The 27,264-nt window shown below is 40.3% G+C and overlaps 2 long non-coding RNA genes across 8 annotated transcripts in view; one reads left to right on the top strand and one right to left on the bottom strand.

Annotated features, from left to right (window-relative positions):
* Positions 1-380: 380 nt before the first annotated feature.
* The window catches only part of LOC105376242 (uncharacterized), a 35,678-nt gene continuing 8,794 nt past the window's right edge, over positions 381-27,264 (bottom strand). Inside the window, exons 2-5 of one of the 7 annotated variants that reach the window (XR_001746912.2) lie at positions 23,693-23,715; positions 18,948-19,067; positions 7,440-7,644; positions 381-6,834 (exon numbers count right to left, since the gene is read on the bottom strand). This is a non-coding gene — a long non-coding RNA (uncharacterized LOC105376242). Of the gene's footprint in view, positions 7,645-11,166; positions 11,331-18,947; positions 19,068-23,692; positions 23,716-27,264 lie in introns of all 7 variants that reach the window. The other 6 variants (XR_001746911.2, XR_001746914.2, XR_001746913.2 and 3 more) reach the window with 6 other exon arrangements.
* Positions 7,969-10,304, top strand: LOC124902330 (uncharacterized). Its single transcript, XR_007061904.1, has 3 exons — positions 7,969-8,122; positions 8,226-8,292; positions 10,266-10,304. It is a non-coding gene; the product is annotated as an uncharacterized LOC124902330 (long non-coding RNA).

The raw sequence follows: 27,264 nt of genomic DNA on the forward strand, positions 1-27,264 counted from the left end.
CATGTGCAGACATCTTAAGTGGAAGATGCTTCAAAAGTCAATAAAATGTAAGTTAAAAAGAAGTGTGTGGGTGGGGGAGCTGAAACAACTCTTTGTAGCTGCTAAATGGTCACAGGTGGAATATCACTTTGACTTAGAGCTTGGCAGCCAGAAATCTGGACGAGGGGATCCAATGCATCTTTTAACAACTGGCATGGAAGATTAGGAGGCTATTGCTAAGTTATCAATAGACGGTGCAGTTTGCTGCTGGAAGTGGTCTTCAATTGACTTCTAAGTGCAGAAGTTACATTTGTACAACAACAGTCAGTATAACCAACTGTAAATGTATATACAATGGATTAGTCTGTTCAGGTTGTCATAACAAAATCCCACAAGCTGGGTGGTTTAAACAACAGAATTTTATTCTCTCACAGTCCTGGAGGCTCGAGGTCCAAGATCAAGGTGCCATCTGGGTTAGTGTCTAGTGAGGGCTCTCTCCCTGGTTTGTAGGTGGCACTTTGTGTCTTCACATAGCCTTTCCTTGGCACATGTGCTCAAAAAGGGGGGGAGAGAAAGGGAGAGGGGGGAGAGAGAAAAGGAGGGAAGTGAAGAGAGAGTGAACAAGAGAGAGAAAATGAGAGAAAGAGAGATAAGAGAAAGATATCTTCTACTTATAAGGTCACCAGCCCCATCAGATTAGGGTCCCATTCTCATGACCTTATTGACTTTTACCTTCTAAAAGCCCTATCTCCAAATACAGTCAATAAGCTTCAACATACAAATTTTGAGGAGGCATAATTCAGTTAATAGCATACAATATAGTCAACTGTCTCTGCCAGCTCTTGTGAAGGCGGCATGGTTCCCGTTGTCACCAAGAAGAAAATAAAAGGCTCATATAATCCATCTATGATGCAATAACTGGCCTATATTTCATGGCTTGGAGTCACAATGTCACCATTGAGAACACCACTCCTGAGGGGGTTGCAGGAATTGGGGGAGGAGTGGAAGAGTGGCAAAAGAATCACATCCTTCAGCAAGTCCATGGGAACAACTAGGGCTAGGGGCTGTGAGCCAGGGGGTTGGCTCCCTTTCACAGGTCTCTGAAAAGTAGGAAGCTTTGCCTAAGTCAGTGATCAGGCAGACAGCTTTGGAGACAGGGGAGGGACCTTGGGGAATTGCTGAATGCTGGTGTGTTCCGGGAGGAAGAGGCACCTAGGTCAGTGGGCTAATGGAGTGCGGGGGAGAGAAAACATAATAGTATGACATATGTTGACATATTAAGACTTCCTAAAATACAGCTCTGATAATGTCATCCACAACTTTGCTCACAAACTGTCAGCAGCTTTTTGGTACCTTTATAATAATGGCATTAACATGCATTAACATGGCATTCATGGCTCGGCTTGCTATGGTTTCAACTAACTCTTGCAGTTTTAAGGGGATGACAGTCATATCTAACATTTAGAGAATGCTTATTTGGGACAGCCACTCTCATGAGCCCTCCACACATAAAAACTCATTTAATTCTGGTAACAAGCCAAGAAGGTAGGAGTTGTGATCTTCATTTTAAAGGTGAGAAGAATGGAGCTCATGGAAGTTCATGACTCAGCCGAGGTCACATAGATAGTAAACACTGGATCTGGGATTCAAACCCAAACAGTCTAACTCCAGAGCAATAATCATAAATATTACATGATATGCTTTTTCATGCACTTTATATGACAGAATCCCTGGCCTGCTCCCAAACATGTTCCATATTTTCTGTTCCTGTAGTGTTCGACCTCATCCCAACCTTATCCCAGTCTCTGCAGATTCCAATACTCATCAATATTCAAGGCGAAATTCAAGGGCAGTTCCTCCATGAAAATGATCTTTTTTCCTTCCACTGTAAGTGGTATCTCTTGATTCAGATCCCACTAAGAGCTTTATCTTTTCTTCTTTTGTGGTGACTGCCATTTGGGGACTGAAAAGAAAATTGATATGGCTGGAGTTCAGTGTGTCAAATGACCATCAGATATGGCAGCACTGCTGTTCTTCTGCAGGCTATGAGTGCTATGCAGGCATGAGACCCATGTCAGCATGCCCCACAATCCCTAGAACAGTGCTCTGCACTTAGGAGTTGTATCTACTGGAATTAGATTTGATTGCAAATAACAAAGAACCAAAATCAGTGAATTGAATAAGACAGAAATCTACTTATCTTTCAAATAAAACAAGTCTACAGATAGAGTAGAATTGTTCTAACAATTCCATGGTCTTCAGGGATCCAGGTGGCTTTCATACTTCTGCTTCTTAGGCCCCAGCGTGTGGGTCTGGTCTTCATGGTCCAAAATGACTGAGTTCCAGCCATCACATGCATGATCTAAGGAGGAGGATGGAGTAAAAGACTTCATGGAAGTGAAACACAACATTTCTGTTTACATCTCATGAATCAGATTTACACAGTTATTCTTAATGACACAGGAGCTGGGTTGTCTTTTGGCCACTTAGTATGGCCTTCCAGGTTAAAATGAGAATTATGTTACTTAAAAAGAAGGGATAAGTATGACCTACTATGATACAAGGCAACTAGTAATCTCAGCAGAGTAGGTCCTAAGGAAATATTTACTTCAACAACTATTTCTTGAAACCTACTTTGTGTCAGTCCCCATGTGAAACACTAAGGATACAGAATTCAACAAGAAAGCCAAGGTCCCTGTTTGTTAAAAGTTTATATTTTATTTGGGAAGTTGAACAATAAAAAGATTACTTACCAAAAATGTATGATAAAGGGTAAAATAGGGTGAGTACAGGTTGCTGTAGGAGCCCTTAATCTATGAGATCTTGACAGATTGCCTAGTGGAATAAATGAATGACTTGAACACAGGATCAAATAAACCCTTCTTTCATTCTATTCTGGTAGGCATAGATGAGCAAGGGAAGACACACAGGAGCTGACGTCTGTTGTTGTTGTAGTTGCTGTTGTTTGAATGTTCCCTACAACACTCACGTTAAAATTTAATTGCCATTGTGACAGTATTAAGAAGTGGGATCTTTAGAGGTGATAGGTTATGAGGGCTCTACCCTCATGAATGGATTAATGCTTTATTTTTAGAATGGGTTATAGAAGCGGACTCCTGATAAGAGAGTAAGTTCTGCCCTTATCTTTCTCTATCTCTTGTACTCACTTGCTTTCTTCTTTCCACCATGGGAGAATGCAACAAGGTCTTCACCAGATGGCCGAACAGATCCAAGTGTCATGACCTTGGACTGTCCATCCTCCAGAACCATAAGCCAAATAAATTTCTTTTCTTCATAAATTTCCCAGTCTGTGGTATCTATTATAGCAGCAGACAATTGACTAAGCCGGAAGTTTTGGATGAAAGAATGTATTCAGATCTACCATATTCTGAATATGGCTGGACTATTTGTTGTATTTTGGACAAATAACTTGATGCCTCCCAAACTTTGTTTTTGTAAAATTAAATTATATTGACTCTTCCACAGGGTTCTGGGGGGATCTGATATAGTATACAGTAGGTTCTCAACAAATATTAGCTTTTTCATTCAAAGCCAAAGAGATCCAGCCATTACCATACAGTGTACCCCCTTTCTATTTTGCTTCTGCCCTTCAACACCAAACCCAGCTTGAAATGAAGCTGAGATTAATTTTTTTTCTTAAGTTGACATAAAGGGGTCTGTCCCTTAATTACTAGTCATTGCCCTTCACACACACACAAATGGTAACCCGCTCAGCCCATCACAGCTTGCCCTTTGAAATACTGAACTAGACATTGAACAGAAAGTATCTGCCAAAAGGCTTCTTTTCTTCACGAGATAAAAGCAACTTGAAATGCATGTAAGTCCCGTGCCCTTGTTAATTAATCAGGATTCGCATTAAAAGCTTAAATGTCTTTGAAGAAGAAAGCTCAGGGAGCTGGAACCTTTTTTTTCTGCTTGGTAGAGGGGAGATGGGTGGACAGGGCAGCCCAAAGAGGTATGTTTGGGGGTGGGGGGAATAGAGGACCAGGACCGATTAACAGGCAAGGAGGAGACAGGTTCCAAAGTAAGAGACCACCATGTTCTTGCAGGTTCCACCCTTCATTAAATAAAAATGCAGGGTTCTGAACTACCAGTGTTTCTGACACAGTTTTCTTACTAATATTCATTCATTCAGTAGGAGCTTATAGTAAAAACTTCTATTCATTCATGCAACACATGATCAGTAGCCTTCCACTAAATGCCAGGTTGTGATACAGTGGTATTCACTACTTATTCAAGACACAGTCCTTACCTTCTCAATGATCTGGCACAGTCACTCTCAAATGGATGTGACTGCCCCCCCAGGAGACATTTAGCAACGTCTGCAGACATTCTTGGCTGTCATAACTGGGGAAGGTGCTACTGGCATCTAGCGGGTAGAGGCCAGGGATGCTGCTAAACAACCTACCATGTACAAGACAGCCCCCGCCACAAAGAATGATTTGGTCCAAAATGTCAATCATACCAAGGCTGAGATACCCTCAGCAGGAGAGATAAACATTTCAACAAGTAATTTCAGTAAAGCATAATAAGTGCCATATTGTAGCAGTAGCAACTAAGTGAGTATTGGGGAAAGCCTTCCTGTGAAGTGATATGTAACCTGAGACCTCCAAGATGAGCCACAGTGAAGGGCTGAGTCTGGCTGGGTGGGGCTGGGTGGGGCAAGCAGAAAGAATGGCATGTGAGGGAGCTCAAAGGCAGGAAGGAGCAAGAAGCCTTGAGAAGTTGAGTGCTTCCTGTAAGTGGAAGGGGAAGTGAGGAGGGCAAAGGGCTTCTGCCTTTGGTGAGGCTGGCAGGCTAATGGGGCTGGAACATGAGGGACTTGTGGCCTGTATTTTGGAATAGGGTTTTGTCCTAAAATGTACTGCAGAGTCACTGAAGGATTTTAAACCAGAAAGTGACATGATAGAAATTTGTTATAGGAAAATACAAATGTATTGTTAGGCACTATTCTAGGTACTTGGGAGGAAATACAAAGATCATCTGTTCCTTGGCAGTCTGATAAGAAAAATAATATGTGCCCTCAAATTGGATCATTGTGATGCAAATTACATGTTAAAAAAAAAAACATTGAGACAGATCAGTTTCCATTTATAAGGCAAGAGGAAATTAGTCCGTTTGGGGATCAAAAGGAACTGGGATCTTGGTGTTGACCAAACTGGGGAGGTGATTAAGAGGCTGTACAGGAGGGAGTTACAGAGCCCAACATTAAGTATGAAGGTACCAAATATAAGGTGAAGCTGGAAGTAGAGAAATAGGTAAAGAAGTTGGCTTTTGCTTAGTACTTAGCTTTGTCCAAACCGAGTGTCTTTCCATTTCTTAAATGTAACAGGTTCTCCTTTGTTGCCTAGATGTATTACTTGGAACATTCTGCCTTTCTAAACAGACTTTCACCTAATTAACACCTTCTCAGCCCATAGATCTCATATATCTCATACTGGACCCTTTTTGAAAATTTCCCTATAAATTCCTTAGTTTGAAGATTGAAATTGTTTAATTGTTTATAGCCTCATTAGGTTCTAATCTTCAAGAGAGCAAAAGACATGAATTATTGTCCATTACCGTACCCCATAATTTAGCACACTCCTAGCAAATAGCAAGTGCTTGGTAACTATGTATTGACTTGGCTGGAAGTTGCAAGGCAGGAGAATACAAATAGGGTGAAATCTAATCTGAGGAATGACTCAGGGTCAGGCCAGAATTTCAGAACTGAGGCTGCAGACTCTAAGAGAGCTGGAATCCTATTTATTGGGTGCCAGCTGAATGCTGTTGGGGTTGGCATGGGTACGGAAAGTTCAAGGCCACATCGACAGAGTGAAACAAGTACACAGATTCAGAAGAAATTAATTCCTTCAGGAGGAGAAAGAAGCCCCAGAAAGCTATGTGAAGAAAGTGGCATTTGACTTGGCTTAATGGACAGACAGGCTTTGGTGTTGCTATTACGTGGCTCTGTTCTCCTTACCTTGGCATGTGTTGATGTGGCAAATTTCTCTCTCCACACCACCATCTGTCAGAGCACAGGTGTGGCAGAATATCACCTGGGTTATACTCTGGGAGTTATACTCTGTGGGTTACCCCCACAGGGGACACCTATTGTGTGCTGTTATGGGCTGGGATCTCCAGGCACAAGCATTCAAAGCACAAAACACCTACAGCATATTCAAAACAGAGTACATTATGTATTCATGATCATGAATAGTGTATGTGTGTGTGGATCCATAAAAACTTGCATTTTGTTCAGGGGCTTAAAGAACTTCCAGAATGAAATCTCATTTCTTCTGCATAGCAATAATATGAGACAGGTGAGAAAGACATTGTTACACTTACATGACAGGTGAGAAAGCAGTGGCATAGAGAGGCTAAGCACCTTATCAAAGGTCACACAGCTATTGTTATGCAACCAGCGATGGAGCTCAGGCCTTTGGTTGCTAATCAATCTAGCCCTTTCTGCCCAGTGTAGATGAACTCTCTAGATTGTGAGAAAATATGTTTGAATGTGTACTGAGAAGCAACTGCCATTAGCTCAACCTACTGTGGAATATTTACTGGGGTCTTACATTATGACCACTTGACACATGAATCATTTTCACTTCAGAATTTTTATGTGTTTGACCTAATGAATTAATTTCTTCAATATAAAATTGAGATTCTTGTATTTTAGTAACATGTCAGTGTCAATTTTATGAATAAACAAATAATCATTAATAACATAAACTTATATTCATCTAAATTTAAAAAGTTAGTTACATACCTGGCTTACCTTGAAATCAACTGAAATCAGTCACTAAGGAACAAAATTCTCCAGAGAAACTGTTTCTTCCTTGAATCTGAATGCTAGGGCATATAATCATAAGGCTAATGTTGAAGTAACTTGGTTAATGGCAACACATATACACATATCTAGCTCTAACTACTTATACAGCTGCTCAAAATCCTTATAAAGCCTTTCAACTCAAACTTGGTGCAAATGCAAACACACTTGCATTCTCCATGTTCCCCTGCCTCCAGTCTTTTTTATTTTTCCTTTTTCATCTTGTCTTCCACCGATTTCTCTCTAAGATGGTTTCTTCTCTGTGATAGTTTCTATGATAAAACTAATGATAAGGCAGGCTCATTAATTCTGAAAAAGAAAGAAGTATAGCTATGTTGAATTAGGTGCAAATTCATTTATGTGGTCTGAAGTCTTTCAGCATCGAATGTTTTCAAGCATTTGTAAAAAGAAGTGTTCTTTTATGACGTTCACGTTGTCTTTACCTTCCACTCTTGCTGCTTTATGCCCACACTCACATACACACATGCTTGCAGAGACAGACGCTGTTCCTACGCAACTTTGCCCAAACAGTGTTCTCCCACAGATAAATCACTTCCTTCCCAAGGAAGCAAATACCTTTGCCACATGGCTGGAGTGGGCGGGGGACTCTTCCTCCTGAAATACTCACCCTGACTGTCAATCATTTAGCACTGAAACAAGGAGAGCCTCTCTGAATGTTGAGCAGCCAAGAGAGCTGCCCACACTGGACATCAATCAGCAGCAGGGCCTGTCCTCAGGGTGACTCCATTTACCAGTTCTGGAATGACTGAAGGGCCTTGCATCAGCAGACAAATCTGATTAGTGGTGGTAGCCATCCAGGCTGACTTTTATGTCTGTGTGAAGAGCAAAGCATGTATGAGCTTCCCAGAGCTAATGTTGAAACTAAGCAGAAGCCTCAGACAGATGAATTATGGCTGGGAGATCCCATGGAGGGCATCTACCTCCTCCTGTATTACTCAAGGGGGAAAAAAAAATCACACACCCATACAGATAACTTGCAAATATATGAATGCTGATAATGTGCTTCCACTATTGCACAAAGGAAGAAAACACATAAATGGGTTAATTAGCTCCTATGCAGAATTTAATTAGAGTGTCTTTGTTCACTCTGCTTCAGCCAGAATCTCAATTATCCATCCCTGTTTCCAGGATTTTTGAGCATGGACGTAAATTTTCACTTGGAGCTTCCCATCTGAAGCTTGGGGGTCTCAGCCGCCTTCCACATGGCAACAGTAGCCGATTTCAACATAAAATTTTGATTACTTTGAAGTCATCCCATTATTACAGAGAACTCTTTTCAGCACTCAAAAGGTATTCTACATTGCACCTCCCCTACACGTGTTTAATAAACTGGCTTTTAAAAAGTTCAGAATGGAGCTAGGGCTAAGAATTCTGTGATTTTTTTTCCCCATAGGATGAAACAATGATAAGTGACCTTGATTGTGTAATAACTCATTTAACACCCACAGCAGTCCTCGAAGGTAGGTTTTATTGTTGTTATTATTATTATGAGCATTTGCTAAATAAAAAAGAGTAAGTCACACCAAGGCTAAGGGATTTGCACGAGGACTTGAGCCCAGGTATTCTGGATTCTGAGTCCACATTCTTCATCATTAATATGATTATCATTAATATGATTAAGAGTGCTCCTATGTCTCAATAATAAATATTCTCTTGTGAGAAAGCCAATACCAATTCTATGGAAATTGTACATTTTAAAAATTAATTCTTTTGATAGGAATGACATTATTTAGAGCTATTCTGATTCCAAATAACACAAATCAGACACATACTTATATGAAAGGGGAAATTTTTTATGAGATTGGGGGGATAGTTCTTGAGAAACTCAGGGCAGGGAGTGCAGCTAGACCTCAGAAACAAAGGATGCTAGAAATAGGAACAGCATCAGGAAGGCCCTATCCTTCCTCCTTATTTCTTTCTACTATCATTGGTGCCTGCTTTTTTTTTCTTTCTGTTAACAAAGTTGCATCTTCCAAGTCTCCATTTTACAGGGGGAAAAACACATACCCTCAGGTTCTGAGCTTTATTTCCTGTACTCTAGGATCCAAAGAGAGATTAGTCCAAGATTTGCTCCTCATATGTCCAGAGAGCCCAAAAAGAAAAATGATGATGATAATGATAGCTACCACTGAGGCCCTTGGGGAGGATAGCCATATTGATTTGTGTGTCTGGTGTTTGGAATAGCCCCTCTGCAGCTCACATGTAGGTGCTGCTGTGTTTCAAAGTACAAGCATCGCAAGGGTCTCTCAACCTTATTGAGCCAGTAAGGAACTTCCCTGGGCTTTTGACAAATCTATAAGTGCTTTCCAGGATTTGATACTTGCAACAACATTGAGGAGCAGACAAGGTAAGTACATTTACCATTTTTTTTTTTTAACAGATGAGGAAACAGAGGTCACCTAGAGAGGGAATGTTTCTTACCCAATTTTTCACTGCTAGCAAGTGACAGAGCTCTTAGTCAATGGCTCTTTATACAACTAAATCAAAATTCAAAATACAGCTTTTAGTCATGGTCCACCCTACATTAAAGAATCCAATAAAAGTACACCTGATTTGAAGATTAGGAGACAGATCTCCAGACTTCTGGTCTTGCCATAATTTTTTTTCCCACATTCCTAAGGAGTCTGAAGCACACATTATTTTAACAGCTCAGTATTTGGAATTTAACTTTTTCCTAGAATCATTGCTTCTTGGTACTGAACACATATAATTTTCTTTTATTATTTTCTACTTGGCTCCTAGTTTTGCTTGCCAAGTTTGGATTATGAAAAAGTGGCCAATGTTGTAGATGTCAAAGCTTTGAATGTTCAGATTATCCATATAGAAGCCATGAGTTCTTTTGTTCCTTCCCTACCTTCTTAAAGAATATTTCCTCCATTCGACAACCTATCAATCACTGTCATCAATTAATACATGTGGATACCCACTCCTTGGAGATTCACACTGCTCCTGCTCTCTATAGGGGCTCCTTCAACACATTTCCAGGGAAATTAGAACAGATCTCTTGGGTAAATGGTGTCCTACAAATCATGAATATGTAGTTAACCAGCTGTACTGCATCTCACACTCTAAGGCACACAAAGTTGGTTTTAATTCTGCATTTAAAACAAGAGAGATTCAGGTTGAATCTAAAAGAGAACATCTTGATCATCCAAGGGAAAAATACTGGCAGGATCTACTCAATGAAAATGTTGCTTTTTTGTGTCTAGAAACCTGTATTAGTGCTGGCTCTTGTGGTACTCAGCTTCCAGGTGGCCCCCAATGATTTTCACCTCCTGGTATTCATGCCATTGTATAGTCCCCTCCCACCATGAATATGGATGATCTGTGTAACCAATAGGATATTACAGAAATGATGGCGTTTGACCTCTGAGGCTAGGTCATAAAAGACATTGTGGCTCTCACTCTAGTTTCTCTTGTATTCCTTGTTTAGAAAAAAGCCAGCTGCCATGTCATGAAGACATGAAAGCAGCCCATGAAGAGACCCATATGGGGAGAGCCAAGGACGCCTGGTAACAGCTAGCATCAACTTTTAGAAATGTGAGTGAACTACCTTGGAAGTGGACCTTCCAGCCCCAGTCTAGTCTTCAAATGATGATAGCCCCATCTGATATCTTGCCTTCAACTGCATGAGAGATTCTGAGCTACAACCACTCAGCTAAGCTGCTACCAAATTCCTGACCCATATAAACGGTGAGATAATAAATGTCTACTGTTGTTTCAAGCCACTAAATTTACAGGCAATTTGTTATGCAGCAAAAGATTATCAATACAGCTTTAAAATCCTATTCTGCCTATATCCCACCTTAGAGCAGCTACATTTACATAACCCCTAATGCATGAGCACAGCTGAGCTATGTGCCATGTGCCCAGCGAGCTCTTCAGCCTGACCACAGCTGACTGGAACAGGCAGCTGGACCCAGACACAATAGACTAGGCCCAGTAGATTCCCCTTTCAGGAGTTTGGGTTTGAGTAAATGGAAGACGGAGTCAGCTACTGCTGGGCACTGCTTCTGAAAAAGCAATGAAGAGTTGGGGGCTGTGTCAGCCATCATGATTTGGAAAAGCAGAGGGCTATGAATACCTGTGACTGTGGAAGAAGGAGCAGAGGCACAGACAGGAGAGAAAACAAATGTGAATGTAGCTTTGGGTCCCAGTGGCTTCTCAGTGCCTCTTCACAGGGGACTTGACACTAACTCTGAACTGCTCAGTCTCTAAGAAGTTCCAAACTTTATGATTTACACCAATCTGAGTTACACCCACAAAGACCTCTGACCCATAAGCACTTTCCAGGGTCATTTGATAATCACCTTTCCAAATGTTTAGGTATTTACCTGGAAGAATGAAGGGTTCTGGACTTGAGCTCTTAAGAAGTAGTGTTTCGTGGAGGAAATAACATACGTTCTTTGCCATCACTCCATTTTAAAGCTGAAGAATCACTCAGAGAAAGTGGCTTGCACACAGTGCTATGGTGATTTAAAGAAGTAATGCTCTCTCCCTGGTACCAAATAAGAACACAATTAAGAAAACTGTCTTCTCTAGACTTGTGTTCATTCCTTTCTGCTACTAACAAGCTCAAGATCAGAGGAGATTCATGCAGGTTTAGAACAATGTTCTTTTTAGTCTGAACACCATGACTTGCTATGATGAATAGCTGAAGCGGCAGGTTCTAGGAGATACAGGCACATCCCTGCATTGCTTATTGATGTGACCCTATCTCATAGAGAGGACACATCCTCGAGGGGCCCTGCATTGGCTTACACATTAATTTGGTACTGAGACTGAGCCCTCTGTGTGCAGAGGAGCCCTGGTAAGGAGCCTTTAGCTTCCATAAAAGAATAATGCTAAGTACACATTTTATGTGCCAGCCTCCTGCTCCAGACAGATCTCACAAAAAAAGAATCTTTACAGGTGAAAAGTGGCAAGAGCTCCCTTTGCTTTTCATTGCAAGAGGGTATCTCATGCATCTGAGAAAATGAGGTCAGAGGAAGTCAGATTAGGAAAAGGTGGGTGAGGATGGGAGCAGCAGAGGAAGTCTTTATGCAGGAGGTGTGGGGTACGAGCTGCGCCTTGCACAGGTGGAGAGGTGGGAGGTGAGCCCTGCAGACCAGAAAGGTGGAGGAACACAGCTTTAGTGTTAATTTCCAAATGGAGCCTGAAGATGTTTCCATCATGAATACAAAATTATTTCTTCTGCAAGGAATGTTTCATGCTTCCATAAACAGCCTACGCCTGTATGATTTTATGGGAGAAATACTCCATAATAGGGAAAGATTTCTACTTACAGGGAGTTTTTAAGTAGCTGCAATGATGTGCCTTCAATAAAAGAAGAAATGAAACATCAGAGACACTTAACAGGAATGGTCTTGGATCATGTGACTATTCTTTGATGTCTCTGGAGGACATTGCCTTGTTCATGTTTCTGTTTCTCAGCCCAAGGAATTTAAGGTTTGGGGGCTTTGGACCTGTTCATTGTTCCAGTCTCAATTCTCATCATTCCTCCTTCCAAGTCTATGTTCTTGCCATACTGAACTATCACCATTTCCCAGAGGCAGTGCTTTTATAGTCCCATATCCAAGCTTATGCGTCTGCCATTCCATCTGCCTTGAATATTTTCTCAGACCTGTCTTTACCTGGTTAACTTCTTCTCTTGTTTTGAAGCTCAGATGAGATATCAATACATCTGAGAAGTTTTTTGTGTTCCCTTTCACTCTCTGTTCCCCTAAATTTTCCATTAGAGATCTGTACTGGACACTTGCCATGCTTTTTGAGCTGTGCAGTAGCAGCTTTTGAACACACAATTTCTCTGGTTGGACACTATCCTGCCTCATTCTCAACTTGATTGGTGCAGTCTCAGCCTCATCAGCTGAGCATTCTTGGGTCAGGCCTTATTAGAAAGCCAGTGACATGAGAAAGGGGACATGCACAAAGTATTTTTCCTAGCCAAGCTGACAGCAAGTGCACCTAGTGTTCAGGTCAGAGAAAGTGGAAGTTCTGGTATTTGGCATCCACGGCAGGGGCTATGTGCTGCTGTTTTCGGTCAGGGGGCAGCAGGGTGGGATTTGCTGGCATGTCCCCACACTGTGGTTTGGGGGTTGTATGGTGTAAAAACTTGGATGTTAATCACTTTCAGTCCAATCCTTTCATCAATTCATTTTTCTCCTTAAATTACCTTAAAGGGTTATTTTCAGCTAAGAACTCTGAATGAGGCAGTACCCCCTCCTCTGTGCCCCAACAGCCTCCTGAGCTTTCCTTTTTCATTCCACATTGTGATTTATTCCATCTGATTGCCTTCTTACTTGCACATCAATTTCCTGTGGTTTAGGACCAAGTATACATTCTTCATAATTATACCCCAGTTCATTCTGCAATGCCTGGTGAAATAAGTATCCACTGATTAAATAAATGTGCAAATATTTTTCCATATGCCTTTTACTATTGTCTCATTCAAGAGGATACTTTTCAACTACACTTCTATTCAGAACGAGCCAAATGCAGAGCACATGTCTGTGGGCACCAGAGTGTCCTAGGAGAGCCAGTTAGAATCAGGAGTGGACAGCTACACAGAACAGCCAGATATAAAACAGAGAGGCTTGTACCTAAAGAAGGTAGAAACGCTCATTGCAAGGCTTAAATATCAGAGACTTCTGTCTGTTTTAAAAGGTGAGGGCAAATCCTTGGACAGAGGCTAGGGAAACCAGCGACAGGAGCTGAACATAGAAAACAGGTCTCAGGAGTACAGTATCAGCAGGTGGGAGGAAGAATGAACAAACACTTTCCCAGGGATGAGTGGAGGAGGCAGGTAGAAAGGAAGCAGATGTACAAAGGCCTTGAGGTGGAAGGTCTGGACACACCCCAGGAATAGAAGGAAAGCAGGTGAGGCTGGAAGCAGTGATGGGCCCCAAGCCATTGGCACAGAGAATCCATGCTGCCTGAGAAATTCTCCTCGACTTCTACCTGGAAAGCCACTACTCATCCTTCACATCAGCTTGGGTCCAAGATCCCCACCAGGAAACATTTCCTGACCTGAACTTGACTTGAATCATTTACTGGAACCCCGAGACCCTGTTGTTTCTGCCCAAGCACTTATAGTGTTAGAATATAGTTATCTGTTTATATGCCTGTCTTATAATACTAACCAATACTGGTAACAATAATAGTTGCCATTTGCTGTATGTCAAACACTCTTTTCATATCATTCATTAAATTCTCCCCCAAATCTGTACCATTGGCACCATGATTATCTTTACTTTTCAGATGGTGAAAGTAAGACTCAGAGAAGTAAAGTGACTAGCTTAAAGTTGCATAGTCAGTAAATGGCAAAGGGGAGGTATGAACTCAAAGTCTGCTTGATTCCAGGGCCTCTGCCCTTAAACACTAGTTTATAATGACTTAATGCCATATCCCAGCTGGATATCCGAGCTCCAGTTTTCTTACCCTTTTTGAAGCTCAAGAAGGCAAGTGAGGATTTAGGAGTAAGGAAAGAAAAGTAAGTTGTCAGAGTGACACAGTGTCTGGCGGAGCTGAAACTGGAATCCAGATCTCTCAGTTAATCTTTAGGAGAACTATCTAGGAAGATGAGGCTGGCCCAAGTAGACGGGGGTGAGTGTTGGAGGAGGAAGGGAATATTAGTAATTGGCTCTGCAGGTGGGCCAAATACCAGTGTGCAGGAGAAATAATTTTTGCACAGAGAGCCTGCTGGTAATTAATATCCTGTGACTCTGGACAAGCTGCTGCCATCAAGAGCCAGCAAGGCCTGTACAGTCTTGCTGCTCTGCTTAGCAGATATATCCAGACACTAGATGCTCTGAGGGGAAATGCCTCCGATTGGCGTTGGCTCCCCTCCTAAAAAGCCGAGATTTATGGGCAGGCCCATGGGGGCAGAGTGGAGAATGGCTTCAGGCTCAATTTCAGCTGTTCCACAATGGGGCCCTAGTTCCTCTTCTCTTACTTTCAAGCTAGCAGGTAAAAAGATAATAGAAGTATGGAATCTTGGACCTGGTTCTGTCCTTTGAGATCCTCTTAAATGGGACATCCAAACATGCTGGTCCTCACAATTATCTAGGGCATTGTGAAAAACACACATTGTGAGACTCGCTTAAGACCCCAAGGCACAGATATTGGCAGTTTCTAACAGCATCTAGAGGGATGCTGATGATCAGCCAGGTGGAAGAATCTGTGATCTAACCCAATAGAATGATGGCCACATTATATAGATGGGAAAACAGAATATAGGAGGGGAGGGTGCAAGCAGCATAAGAAAGTGGTTAAAACCTTGACTCTGCCATGTGGTTTAGAGAAAGTAACTGAACCTTCTCAAACTCCAGTTTTTTTCATATTAAAAACAAAACAGAGCTTATTTCGAAGCACTCTTGTGAGATGTAAGTGTAAAGTCACACAGTTCCTGACAAAGTAAATGTTTGCTGTTATTAAGCAGGAGGTTGGAGCAGACAAATACAATAATTATAATCTAGTAGGATTAACAGTTTTGGTCATTTTTATGGTTGTTGTTGCTCACCATTCTCTTCTCTGTACTCCGTTAGAGAAAACCTCTCCCTGGACAACAAGCTGAGCACCCCATACACGACTATGTAGATGAACTCCCTTGCTGTGATATGAACTTTTTTTTTCCTCTGAGTTTCCCCTCTTGCCAGATCAGCTTACAAAGACCTAAACAGACCCCACTGCCTGACCTGCCATCAGAGGCCCTTTAGAGTGGAGCATCTGAGAGAATTGATCCATCTCACAGTCCAGGGACCCACAGGCAAGGACATGGATGATTTTCCGGGACACGGGCTCAAGGCCTGGACCCAGGGCGTCTCCAGCTACTACTCCCTGGATCTCTCTTTTGAAGAGACCAAATGCAGAGAGCTGGCCAGTGTGGGTGTGTAGTCCGCGATGTATTTGCATATCTCAATTTCAATGCAGGTACTTTGTGTTGTTATGTGCATGCATGTGTGTACACATATCTGCAGGCACAGAATAGACAAATCCACCACACTGAGATTGGGTGGGAATAAAAGGCACTGAGTTTTACACATCTTCTATGGTGATAAGTATGTAACATGTATTTGTTAAATGGATGGATAGAATGAGTGAATAAATGACTGAACAAATGAAGAAATGCGCAAGTGTCTCAAATGGAAGCCATGGGAAAGCTTTCCAAATCCAAAGTGTGAAGTCAGAGACTGATACATCTATGTCTCTGAAAATATTTGTTCCTTCGTTTGAGATGACAATTTTCAGTCTTCTAAGTTTTACAGTTAGACAGGCTTAGATGAGAAACTCAGCACAAGCTTCTTAGCCTCTCTAAGCAGCAATTTCTTTTTAAATCAGAGATGTCAATATTCTCACTTAAGTTTGTGATGAAGATTAAATCAAGTAACATATGTATGTTATGTGCCAAGCACAGTGCCTGTCACAGGGGAACTTAGTATATCTTTTCTTTCTCTCTCCGTTGCTACTCCCTCTCTGTCTTCTCATTGTCTCTTTCCCTACTTTCCCCCTTCCTGTTTCCTTTCCCTGCTTATCCTCCTCCCTCTTTCCTTCTTTCTTTTCTTTTCTTCCTCTGTGTTTCTTCCCTCAAGGATACAGCAATGCATTATCTTTCAAAACACTTCACTAAAAATGTTGGCAGAATTCCCTGGGGTTGAGACGGTGCCTCAGAAGGTCAGCTTGGAGACAAGAGAATGTTCCAGACGGGTGTGGGCATGCTTTCCAAACTTCAAGCCCCGTTACGAGTTCACTATTTAATTCCTTCTAAGAGTCAGTGTAGTGCAACAGGAAGAAAAAAAAATAAAGTAGACTAATTTGATATTTTGTCCAAGTTCTCCCATTATGGGAGACTGAGCCCTGGAGGTGAACCTTGGATCAATCCCTTTCCCTTTCTGGTCCTCAGTTTTCCTATCTGTCAGATGAGGAGATTGAATTAAATGAGAACTCTTACAACCCTTCATTGCTAGGTGAGAGTATACATATTTTATGTGCTGGAGAAAAGAGTTTCTCCTGTATCTTGTGTACAAGGCTCAGAATGTGAGATGGGGACAGAATTTACAAGGATCTCATTCAATTGCACTTAGCCATATAGAGTGATGTTGGGGTTGACAACTGAAGGAACATATCTTAAGGGTTAAGGCCGTTCAAGAAAAAGAAAGGGGGGCCCTTGGGAATTGTCCTTCTTTTGGTCTCCAGATGTGTGGTGTTAGAAGAACATCCTTCAAGAATGCCTCCCCTCATTAGGAAGAAATAATCATTATGATTACATTAATAACTACCATTTATTAAGCATTATTCAATTCCAAGACCTGCGCTAAGTACTTTATGTACAATATCTGTCATGTCTTTTTAAATAAAATATAGGGTCAATGCTACTACTATTATTTACATTTTATAGATAGGTAAGTGGCTTGCAAGGTGAATGGCAGGTAGGATGTGAACCGAGACTATCTAACTTCACAGACTGTGCTCTTAACAGCTACCATACCCAGCATCTCTGAGAGCAGTTACAACCCAACAGATACTTCTAATGGCACTGCTGCTATGACCAGAACTACTGCAAGGACCAATGGTGGTGATAATAGGCTATCCTTTATGTTGATATTTTGCACTTTTTTAAAAAAATCCTCTCCATTGTTTCTTAACACCATTCCAGAGGAAAAAATAAAGGGGTAATTGGATTTTCCCCATTTCACAGATTAAGAAAATGAGGCTCTGAGAATTTGTTTCTTGTATAATAACACAGTAAGGGACAGAGCTAATACCATGGCCCTTGGCTCTAAATGTAGCCTTTTTCCTTAAGGTGATGTTGAAGGCTCCTTAAATGAAGTGTAATTGCACCTCTAGCAAGAGGGTAAACTGAGACACAGTTTATCTGTTTGCCACATTTTCTATAGAAGTTGTGATTGTGCTAGGTGCAGAGAGTGGTCTCTCTGCTCATTGTCCTCTCTGCTTCGGCTGCCCCATTCTGCGTGCCTGCCAGAAGATTCCCTGGTATCAGGTAAGACAGAAACTTTCCAGTAGATCAGGCTCGGTAACCCACTTGCCTCAGTTCAGCACGCAGCACAGAAAGCTCGGATGTCATTAATCACGGTTGTTTCCATAAAGTGCCATCATCTCGTGTCCCAGGCACAAACGTACATACCCAAGAGAGAAACTCTAGAAAGAGAAGCCAAGGCATGCGCTCTAGCACCAGACAAGGAGGAAGGGGCTGAGGTTACTGAAGTGTCAGAGAAAGGGTGAAATCTTTAGCACTCCTGTTGGGAAAAAGCTTTGCTTAGAGTCCTATCAGACTACCAGAACCTCAGCCTCCAGGAGCAACTTACCCAGAATTAAATCCTGATGCCCTCTGTTGGTGTTTTCCAGTAATGGTAAAAGTTTAGAGATTTAGAAAGGAAACAACAATTTCTGGAACGCAGATATAAACCCCATAAAGCCCAATGAACCCTGTAATTACATATAAACACAAATTCACTTGTACCATGTGTTTATTCTCAGCACCTGCAAAATAGAACCACAGACAGCCCTATGATTAATGGCACAGTGCATTGAGCATGTATTATATGGTGGCAATGTGCCAAGTTCTTTACACACATCATCCTTCCTGCAGTCACAGATAGTAGGCATTACTCTCTCCCATTTACAAAGGGGAAAAAGAGGAGCAGGGAATTCATATAACACACCCAAAGTTAGTAAAACTATGCCCTGGCAGATCTTGAATGTTAACCTAAGTGAATTTGGCTCCAGAATCCATGCTGCCTCCTAACTTAGAAATGGAGTTACAACTTGAACCTGGATCTCCTAACCTTCAGCCACATTACCTTTACATTACTGTGTACAAAATACAGATGTTTGGACTCTCCTAGTCCACATGGAGACACACTGAGCTAAATTTAGCCTTCTGTTCTGGACACCACTGAGGAACGCAATGTTTGATCCAATAAATGAGATCCTGTTTTCCCACCTGTGTTTAGAACCAGTTGAGAGTTACACACGGGAGTAAAAAGGGAAAAATCATTCATTCATTTTTTCTACTGTTAAATCTCTTGGGTTTTATGGCTCTGGGCCTGTTGCCCAAGTGGACCTGCTAGTATTTCATTCCTGAATAAGTGAAGCTCACCTGCTCAGTCATTGGTACAGCGGTCAATCACAGGCCTCTACCTTTAGAGAGATAATCTGTTTGACGAAGCTTAGCACATGACAGAAGCAGAGAGTGCCTCCTTCTTACAGGCAGGAAGACCTGAAACAGACAAATACATAAATAATCAAGGCTGCAGATTGAGCTGTGTATGCCCATTTCTTTCTGCAGAACCCACTAATCAGATAAGTTATTCCTCTTCTCCTGGGGTTATAGAGCAGCAACAATATTATGTTAATGGAAGTTCCTTCCAAATGACATGAGAAGCTGAGTATAAGCAATTTCACTTAAATGCTGTCGTTTCAGGGGTTCACTAATTCAGAATACATAAAGTTCCTCTTAGGATTATCTGCAAAGTTTGGCAAGTGAGTTAAAGCTGAAATCTAGAGTACACAGAACAATTAGATTCCTTGAAAGATGGATTTTCAAGAATTGCATTATAACTAGCTTGTGATATACTAGTTACCAATAAATATTTTTCAATTTCCATCAGCATGTCCCCATAGGAACTTGAATTAAATTCTATCCAAAACATGGGCTTCTGGAGTTTAGACAATCCTTCTTTTAATTAGTACAAGTGATGAGTCTGGCTCAAGGTAAATGAGTTATAGTGTTGACTTTTGCGAGCTACATTCTAAGATGGAAAGTTTTATTGTAAGCCCAACTTTTGCCTGCTTGAAATTCTCTGAAAATCTTCCTTTTGGATGGTAACTTGTCAGACCCATGTCTTGTCATAAGTTGGAGAAAATCAATGCCACTATTTGGGAGTTGGACTCAATCTGAAGGCAATAGGCTTGCAACATTTAATTATTTCACACTCCACTCACCAGGCCATGAAAGTGTCAATTTCACCTGAGGGATAAAGGTACCAGGAAAGAAAAACTGGCCCAAGTGTGGGAAAACAATAAATTATGGTTAACAACAGCAGCAACCTTTAGAAGTTAAAGAAGCAGCTTTCCCCAGAGAGGGACTAGAGGGGGATTGAAAGATATAGACCTGTATATTGATTTTCTCCTAATTTTACTAATAAAAAATTAGAATTCTAGAAAATAGGTGTATAAAGTGACCTTAGAGGTGATTATATCAAACTGTTTTAGTTTATTGGTATAGTGACTAAGACATCTCTGATAGTTTAATAATAATAATAATCACCATTATTTATTCAGAATTGATTATGTGTCCGTCACATAAGTGGGTGAACATAGGACAGAAACTGTGTTTTCCAATTACTATTATATTTATACTAAATTCTAAATTAGTGAGAACCATATAGAAAAGCCTATTAATTTTGTATATTATCCCCCCTCAAATTCAAAGAATTGCAAATGTTCCAATGGCATTATTTGTGTAACTCTGGCATAAACCACAGCATTTAGCTCAGGCATAGACCACAGCATTGAAATCTCCTCCCACAAAATCAAGACTGATATAAACATTGAAAATAGAAAGTTCATAGTGTGATACAATGTATTTGTTCATGTAAGGCTATGACATGAATAAAAAAAAGTCTCCAAACCTTGCTAATCTCAATAGTTGGGGTGACAGAATAGCAAGGTTAAGGTTCTTAAACTACAGGATCTAATGTAACTGAAAATGGTTTGTTTCAAGTTGCTAGATGCTGTAGGAAAAAGGCAAGAGTAAGATTAAAGGGATGTTTCGTGCACAAAATATTGGAATGAATGTGTGTGCCTCCATTGCAATCTGTGATTTCCCATCTTGGGAGTGTAAAAAGGAAGAATGATCTGACATTTAAGAGAGTGCTTTTAGGCACATATGGCTTTACCTGTCACCTCTGTTACTTACTCATTTGTGATTTTGGCAAGTAACTCAATGTCTTTTTATTTTTTTTAATTGTAGTATCATATATTAATTATTTTTTCAATTATTTGTTTCATACATATAAAAATTGCCATTTTAACCATTTTAGTACACAAATCATTAATTACATTCACAATGTTGTACAAAATTTGATTTCTAAAATGTTTGCATCATCCCAGACAGAAACTCTGCACAAATCAAGGAATAACACTCCATTCTTTCTCCCCACTCCCAAACCCTGATAAACTCTAATCTACTTTCAGTTTCTATGAATTTTCCTTATTTTATATAAGTGGAATCACACAATATTTGTCCTTTACATCTGGGTTATTTCACTTAGCGTGATATTTTTAAGGTTCATTCATGTTGCAGCATGTGTCAACATTTCTCTGAATAATTTCTGTTTTATGTGTATACCACATTTTGCACATCCATTCATCTGTTGATGGACATGGGTTGTTGCCACCTTTAGGCTGTTGTGAATAATGCTGCAATGACCTTCAGTGTAGAAGTATCTTTCTGACCTGTTTTCAATTATTTTAGATACATACCTAAGAGTGAAATTGCTGGATCATAGCATAATTCTATACTTAGCTTTTTGAGGAACCGCCAAACTGTTTACCACAGCAGCTGCACCATTTACATTCCTACCAGCAATGCACGAAGATGACAATTTCTCCACATTCTTGCCAAGACTTATTTTTTTCTTCATCTTTTTTATTATAGCCATCCTAGTAGGTAGGAAGTGACTTCTCATTGTGGCTTTGATTTGCATTTCCCTAATGAAGTAAATCAAGATTCTTCTTTGAAAATTTGGATTTTCACTTACAAAATGATTAGAGAAGTGCTTATTTTTTAGGTTTTCTGTGCAGAATAAATAAAACTGTATTGTCTGAAACATAGTAAAATCCACAAAAGGGTAGATGATGGCATCAGTACTGTTGGAGGTAACGATGCCTTTGTCCATTCAGGTACCTTCCTTTTGGAATATCTTCTCTTCCCATATTTCCAGCTGTTCACCTTAAATCTATCCCCCTGTCTGTTCACACAGAAGTAAAGAAATACACATTTAAAGTTAGAGGAGCGATACTGGGATCCATGATTTGCTGGCAAGGATTTGGGGAAACATCAGCCTTGGCAAATATCTATTTCTCCTTATCTTCTTTCACCAGAAATAGGAATGACTTTTCCTAGTCTTTTAACACTTTGCATAGCTACTACACAGAGTCACTTGTTAATAAATCACCCCCCTTCTTTCTTCATAGAACATTTTATTTTGTCTCTTAGATCATAAGTGGGATTAAAGTATTTTTCCTCTATTTCCAATCTATTGAGGTAAGATATGAGCGAGGACTAAATGGATACTATTTGCAGCAAAGGGGTGGTGGGAACAGCCTGGAGCTTCTAATGCGTGTTTTAAATTTCAGATGTCACAGTCTGCATCAAGAAGAAAACTTCCTGGGTGAGAACTTTGAGTATAAAAATCACTGAACTGGAGATAGGGGCTCCTTCTGGTCTTACTCCACTACCATTTCTGATCATTCCTCACTGCTTAAATTAATTGATGAGAGCATAAGTTAATACATTTATTTATTTTTTTGAGGCAGGGTCTCCTTTCCCAGGCTGGAATGTAGTGGCACAAACATGGCTCACTGCCTCCTCAACCTCCCGGGCTCAAGAAATCCTCCTGCCTCAGCCTCCTGAGTAGCTGGGACCACAGGCATGCACCAACATGCTCAGCTATTCTTTAAAAAAAAATTTTAGTAGAGATGAGGTCTAGGTTGCCCAGGCTGGTCTCCTGGGCTCAACTGATTCTCCAGCCCTGGCCTCCCAGAGTGTTGGGATTACAGGTGTGAGCCAGAAATTAAACTATTTGAAGTATTAAAGGTTAAGAGATGAAAATGTTAGTTCTTACACAATTGCGGAGTTCTTTATGGAATGTGAATTGTTATGGTGTTGGAGCTACTGAAATGTGAAAGGGTTATAAATTATACAATAAAGAAATTGTTCTTTAATAATCAATATAATGAGATAGTATTTCGAATTATTAACATGTTCTTACCTTACATTGCCCCTGGACCAGGAGAAGGTGAATTCCACCTTCAAACACTCAGAGAAGCATTCTTTTAACAGAGTGCAGGCAATACAAAAATAAGCTTAGTCTCTGAGTTTCGGAGTCAAATTTTGGAACCTGAAAATCTTCACGACTTTTATAATACTTTAAAAGACAATTATTTAGGCTGAGCACGGTGGCTCACGCCTGTAATTTCAGCACTTTGGGAGGCCAAGGTGGGAGGATTGCGAGGTCAGGAGATCGAGACCATCCTGGCCAACATGCTAAAACCCGTCTCTACTAAACATACAAAAACTAGCATTAGCTGGGAGTAGTGGTGCATGCCCGTAATTCCAGCTACTCAGGAGGCTGAGGCAGGAGAGTTGATTGAACCAGGGAGTCGGAGGTTGCGGTGAGTGGAGATTGCGCCACTGCACTCCAGCCTGGTGATGGAGCGAGAGAGACTCCATCTCAAAACCAAACAAAAAATACAATGATTTAGAATTTCAGAATTCTGGTCACTAAAAACAAAAGACCCCAAATTTGTCTGATGGATGACTGGTGAATTTCTTGCTATCATGATGCCTAAGACCACAATAGAGTAAACACAATCCCCTATGATTCTGGAAAGATCAGCTTTTGCCAAAGCTACCAGTGAAAGCTGAAAACTTGACCATAGTCACACCTTCATGAAAAACTTCTATCATCTTTTGCTGGGAGAATTCACTGATTACTTATGGGAATAAGTGATCTCTCCTGCCCCAGTTTCGTTTGAACTAGTAATTTGTTTGAACATTCCTTAGGGTACTTAACCACGCTGTACATTTTGTTATATTAGTTGGTGCACATAACTTACCTCTCTTCTTAATCTTTAGGACTCTGGAAAATAAGAAATGCAGGTTATAAGTGTTATAAGAATAGATTGAAAATTTAATGGTGTAGATGAATCACTTGGATACTAATCAAAATGTAGATTCCTGGTCTCCACCCACAAAGATTCTGATTCAGTAGATCTCTGATGGCATCCAGGAATTTCTCATAAGCAATTATTCTAGCTGATTCTAATGTAGGTCTAAAGACCACATTTACAGAAATGCTTCTTAGTTACATTGAAAATTGCATCTTGCACATAAAATATATACAGTAAATGAGTACTGAATACAAGAGTAGACTAAGGGGTTAGCAACTTCAAGTATTACTATTTTTGGAGATTTGTGTTTTTTGTTTTTGTTCCTTTGTTTTATTTCAAACAATTCTTAAGCATAAATTAAAATGAAAATAAAATGCCATTGATTGAGTGCCTCCTACTTTGTGCCAGGAACTTTACAATAATCCTGCCAGGTCATTTGTGAAAGAGAAAACAATTTTTTGCTCAAAGTCAAGGAATAGAACCTGACTGCACACTGTTTTGTTTGATTTTAAAATCCCTGCTCTTTTTATTCCTCCATTTACCCCAGGGTACAAGGCTCAGACATAAGGGTTCAGAAACAACCTCTTTCAGTGGTACTAAAACAGTTATTTATCTCCTGTGTGCCTTAATTTACCATCTGCAAAATAAAGTCAAAAAGATGTAAATAAATAGGGTGTATTATTAGAATTAATCAATGAAGTTTTGGAATGGGAGGCGAAAATATAAAAGCAACATCAGATCACATGACTATTATGAACAATAACATCATCAACATTTAATTCATAATTTTATCCATGAAACATTGACCCATGAGCTCTGGTTATTATTATTGATAATTAATAAGGACAAGTCATGAGGTTAATGAGGGTTTTTCATAGCTTCAAATCTTTACTGGGTAAAAGAAGGGAAAAGTTAATTCTTTTCTTTATACCAATGTAACTGATTTTGGGTTTGTTTTCTATTTGTGTGTTTCTTAATCTCTCCCTTAAAATTCTCTGGGGAGCACTTGGGATAATGGAGTAACTGAGTCAGTCTGCAAAAATGCATTTTAAAGTCCACAGTGGTGGCAGCTGCAACAGGTGGTAGTGAGAGAATGGCTTATCAGGGAAGTGTTGGTTCAACCCAAAACTTGGCTATTTTCTGAAATTAAGAGGAGGGTGCTTGAGAGGAAGATAACCCTCTATAAATGTGAGCCTAGGACTTAGGAAACTGCAAAAAGGTGCACTGAGCCATGAGCAGTCTGTGAGTTTAGCTAATCCTCCATGATCTGATCTGCAAAATGGAGGCCATGGCCTTTGTTCAGCTTGCAAGGCTGTTTTGAAGACCAAGTGATGTAATATACATGAATGTCCTCTTGGTCATTACCTGAGTTTGCAAAGTCGGCCAGAAAAAGAAAGCAAGTAATTTGAATATTAGACATACATACAAATTGTATGCTTTATTAAAAGATTCATAATTAGTGAATTATAAAGTCAGAAAAATGATCTAAGTCTTATATTTGGAACTTAGTGCCCCAAAGTGATATCGATTTTGCCTGAAAAGTCATGCCACTCAGCCAAGATATCATCCAGGTCCTATGTAATCTACCTGGAAACACGTGAGCTACTCAACAGAGATCACCACCCCCTCCAGAGCAGGAGAAATTTGGATACCTTGGTGACTTATTGGAAGGTTGTTAGTGAATTCATTTTTTGATTATACTTTGACTAGAGAGGTGGCCCCAGTTCTACATCTTATTCAGTTCTAAATTTAGCATCATCTACACAATATAATAATACCAAATAGCATTTTGAATACTTAGAATAAATAGTTGTTGTTGTTGTTGTTGTTTGAGACAGAATTTCACTCTGTCTTCCAGGCTGGAGTGGTGCAGTGGTGTGATCTTGGCTCACTGCAACCTCTGCTTCCTGGGTTCAAGCAATTCTCCTGCCTCAGCCTCCCAAGTAGCTGGGATTACAGGCGTGTGCCACGGTGCCCGGCTAATTTTTTTTTTTTTTTTTTTTTTGTATTTTTAGTAGAGACAGTGTTTTGCCATGTTGGCCAGGCTGGTCTTGAACCCCTGACCTCAAGTGATCCACCTCAGCCTCTCAAAGTGCTGGGATTACAGGCATGAGCCACCACACCTAGCCTTGATAAATAGTTTCAAAATTAGAAACTTGAAGAGCTAATGCCAAAATAGCCACCATTCTTCACTCTTCCCTGTACCTAGACCCTTTGCAAAACCACTTGGCTGTCTTTTCCATCAAGCAAGGGAGTTTGTTCCTCTATCTCTTGAATGTGGCCTTGCAATTTACATTGGCTAAGAGAATATGATGGAAATGGCAATGCCACTGGTTCTGAGTTTGGGCCTCATGAGTGCTTCTGCTCACTTCCATGGGAACCCAGTCATTGCTATGTCAAAAGCCCTGTGTAGCCTTCTGGAAAATCAGACAATGTATAGAGGAGAGTACAGATGAGTCCATTCAAGAGAAATTTGCAGTCAACAGAGTTGACTGACTGATGCACAGCTGACTCCAGATACACAATGAAGGCAAACTGAGACAGGAGGAGTCATTCTGCTGATACACAAACTCAAGAGTAATAACGTGTGTTGTTTTAGGCAATTACCTTTGAGGTGGTTTGTTAGGCAGCATTTGCTAACTTGTATAAATATACAATGAAGATCTTCAAATATAGCAATTTTTCTTGTGACTTTATGAAAGAAAGTTTTTAAAAAACTCACCCAGCATGAGTTTATCAATAATAAAGTTTTTAACCAATATCTACTTATAGTGGTTTAAAAATAATTATGGTAAAATGTCTAATTTTAGTTTCAGTAGATGGTCATTCCATGGCCTTTTACATTCCATGTCTTAATGAATCAATGAGATGAACAAACAGGTCATTCCATGGCCTCTTACATTCAACTTTATAGATGGTCGAAACAAAAAATTCTTTTTGAGCACCTCACCTGTTCTGTCATATGTGCTGCTAGGTGCTGGGATGTAAAATCAATGAAGACGTACCTGACATTTCAACTTTAGTGAATTATTCTCTGGAAATCTGCTTTCAAATACCCCAGAAATTAATTATTTTAAGCTGGTCTCAATAACCAATACAAATGGAATTCATTGAATATTTTCACTAAACTTTCTCCCCTTCACTAATGATTACTTTTCTTATTTGAAAAGCAGAAGGGCCAAGGTCTTGTCCATCTCTCTAGTAATTGACATGGGTAGATTTCTTCATCTTTCCCAGATAGGATATGACTAATACAATAAGTGATAACAGTGATTTTACTCAAAGCAATGATATTCTAATGGTAAAAATCTTGAACATTGGATTTCGTCTCTGACATGTAGGCAGCTTAGAAATGATCACTTTCATCCTAACAACAAGAAAAAGCTGGGCAAACTAAAAATCAATGACTTTTCTTGCGTCCATTAGAGAAGTAAGGTTGTAGGCTAAACTGCACACTGAAATCTGTAGAAGACTCATCCAGAAAGACCCAGCTTACCTGGAGGAAAAGCTGCTGGAGG

Source organism: Homo sapiens, chromosome 9, assembly GCF_000001405.40.
Source record: "Homo sapiens chromosome 9, GRCh38.p14 Primary Assembly".
NCBI classification, from domain to species: Eukaryota; Metazoa; Chordata; class Mammalia; order Primates; family Hominidae; genus Homo; species Homo sapiens.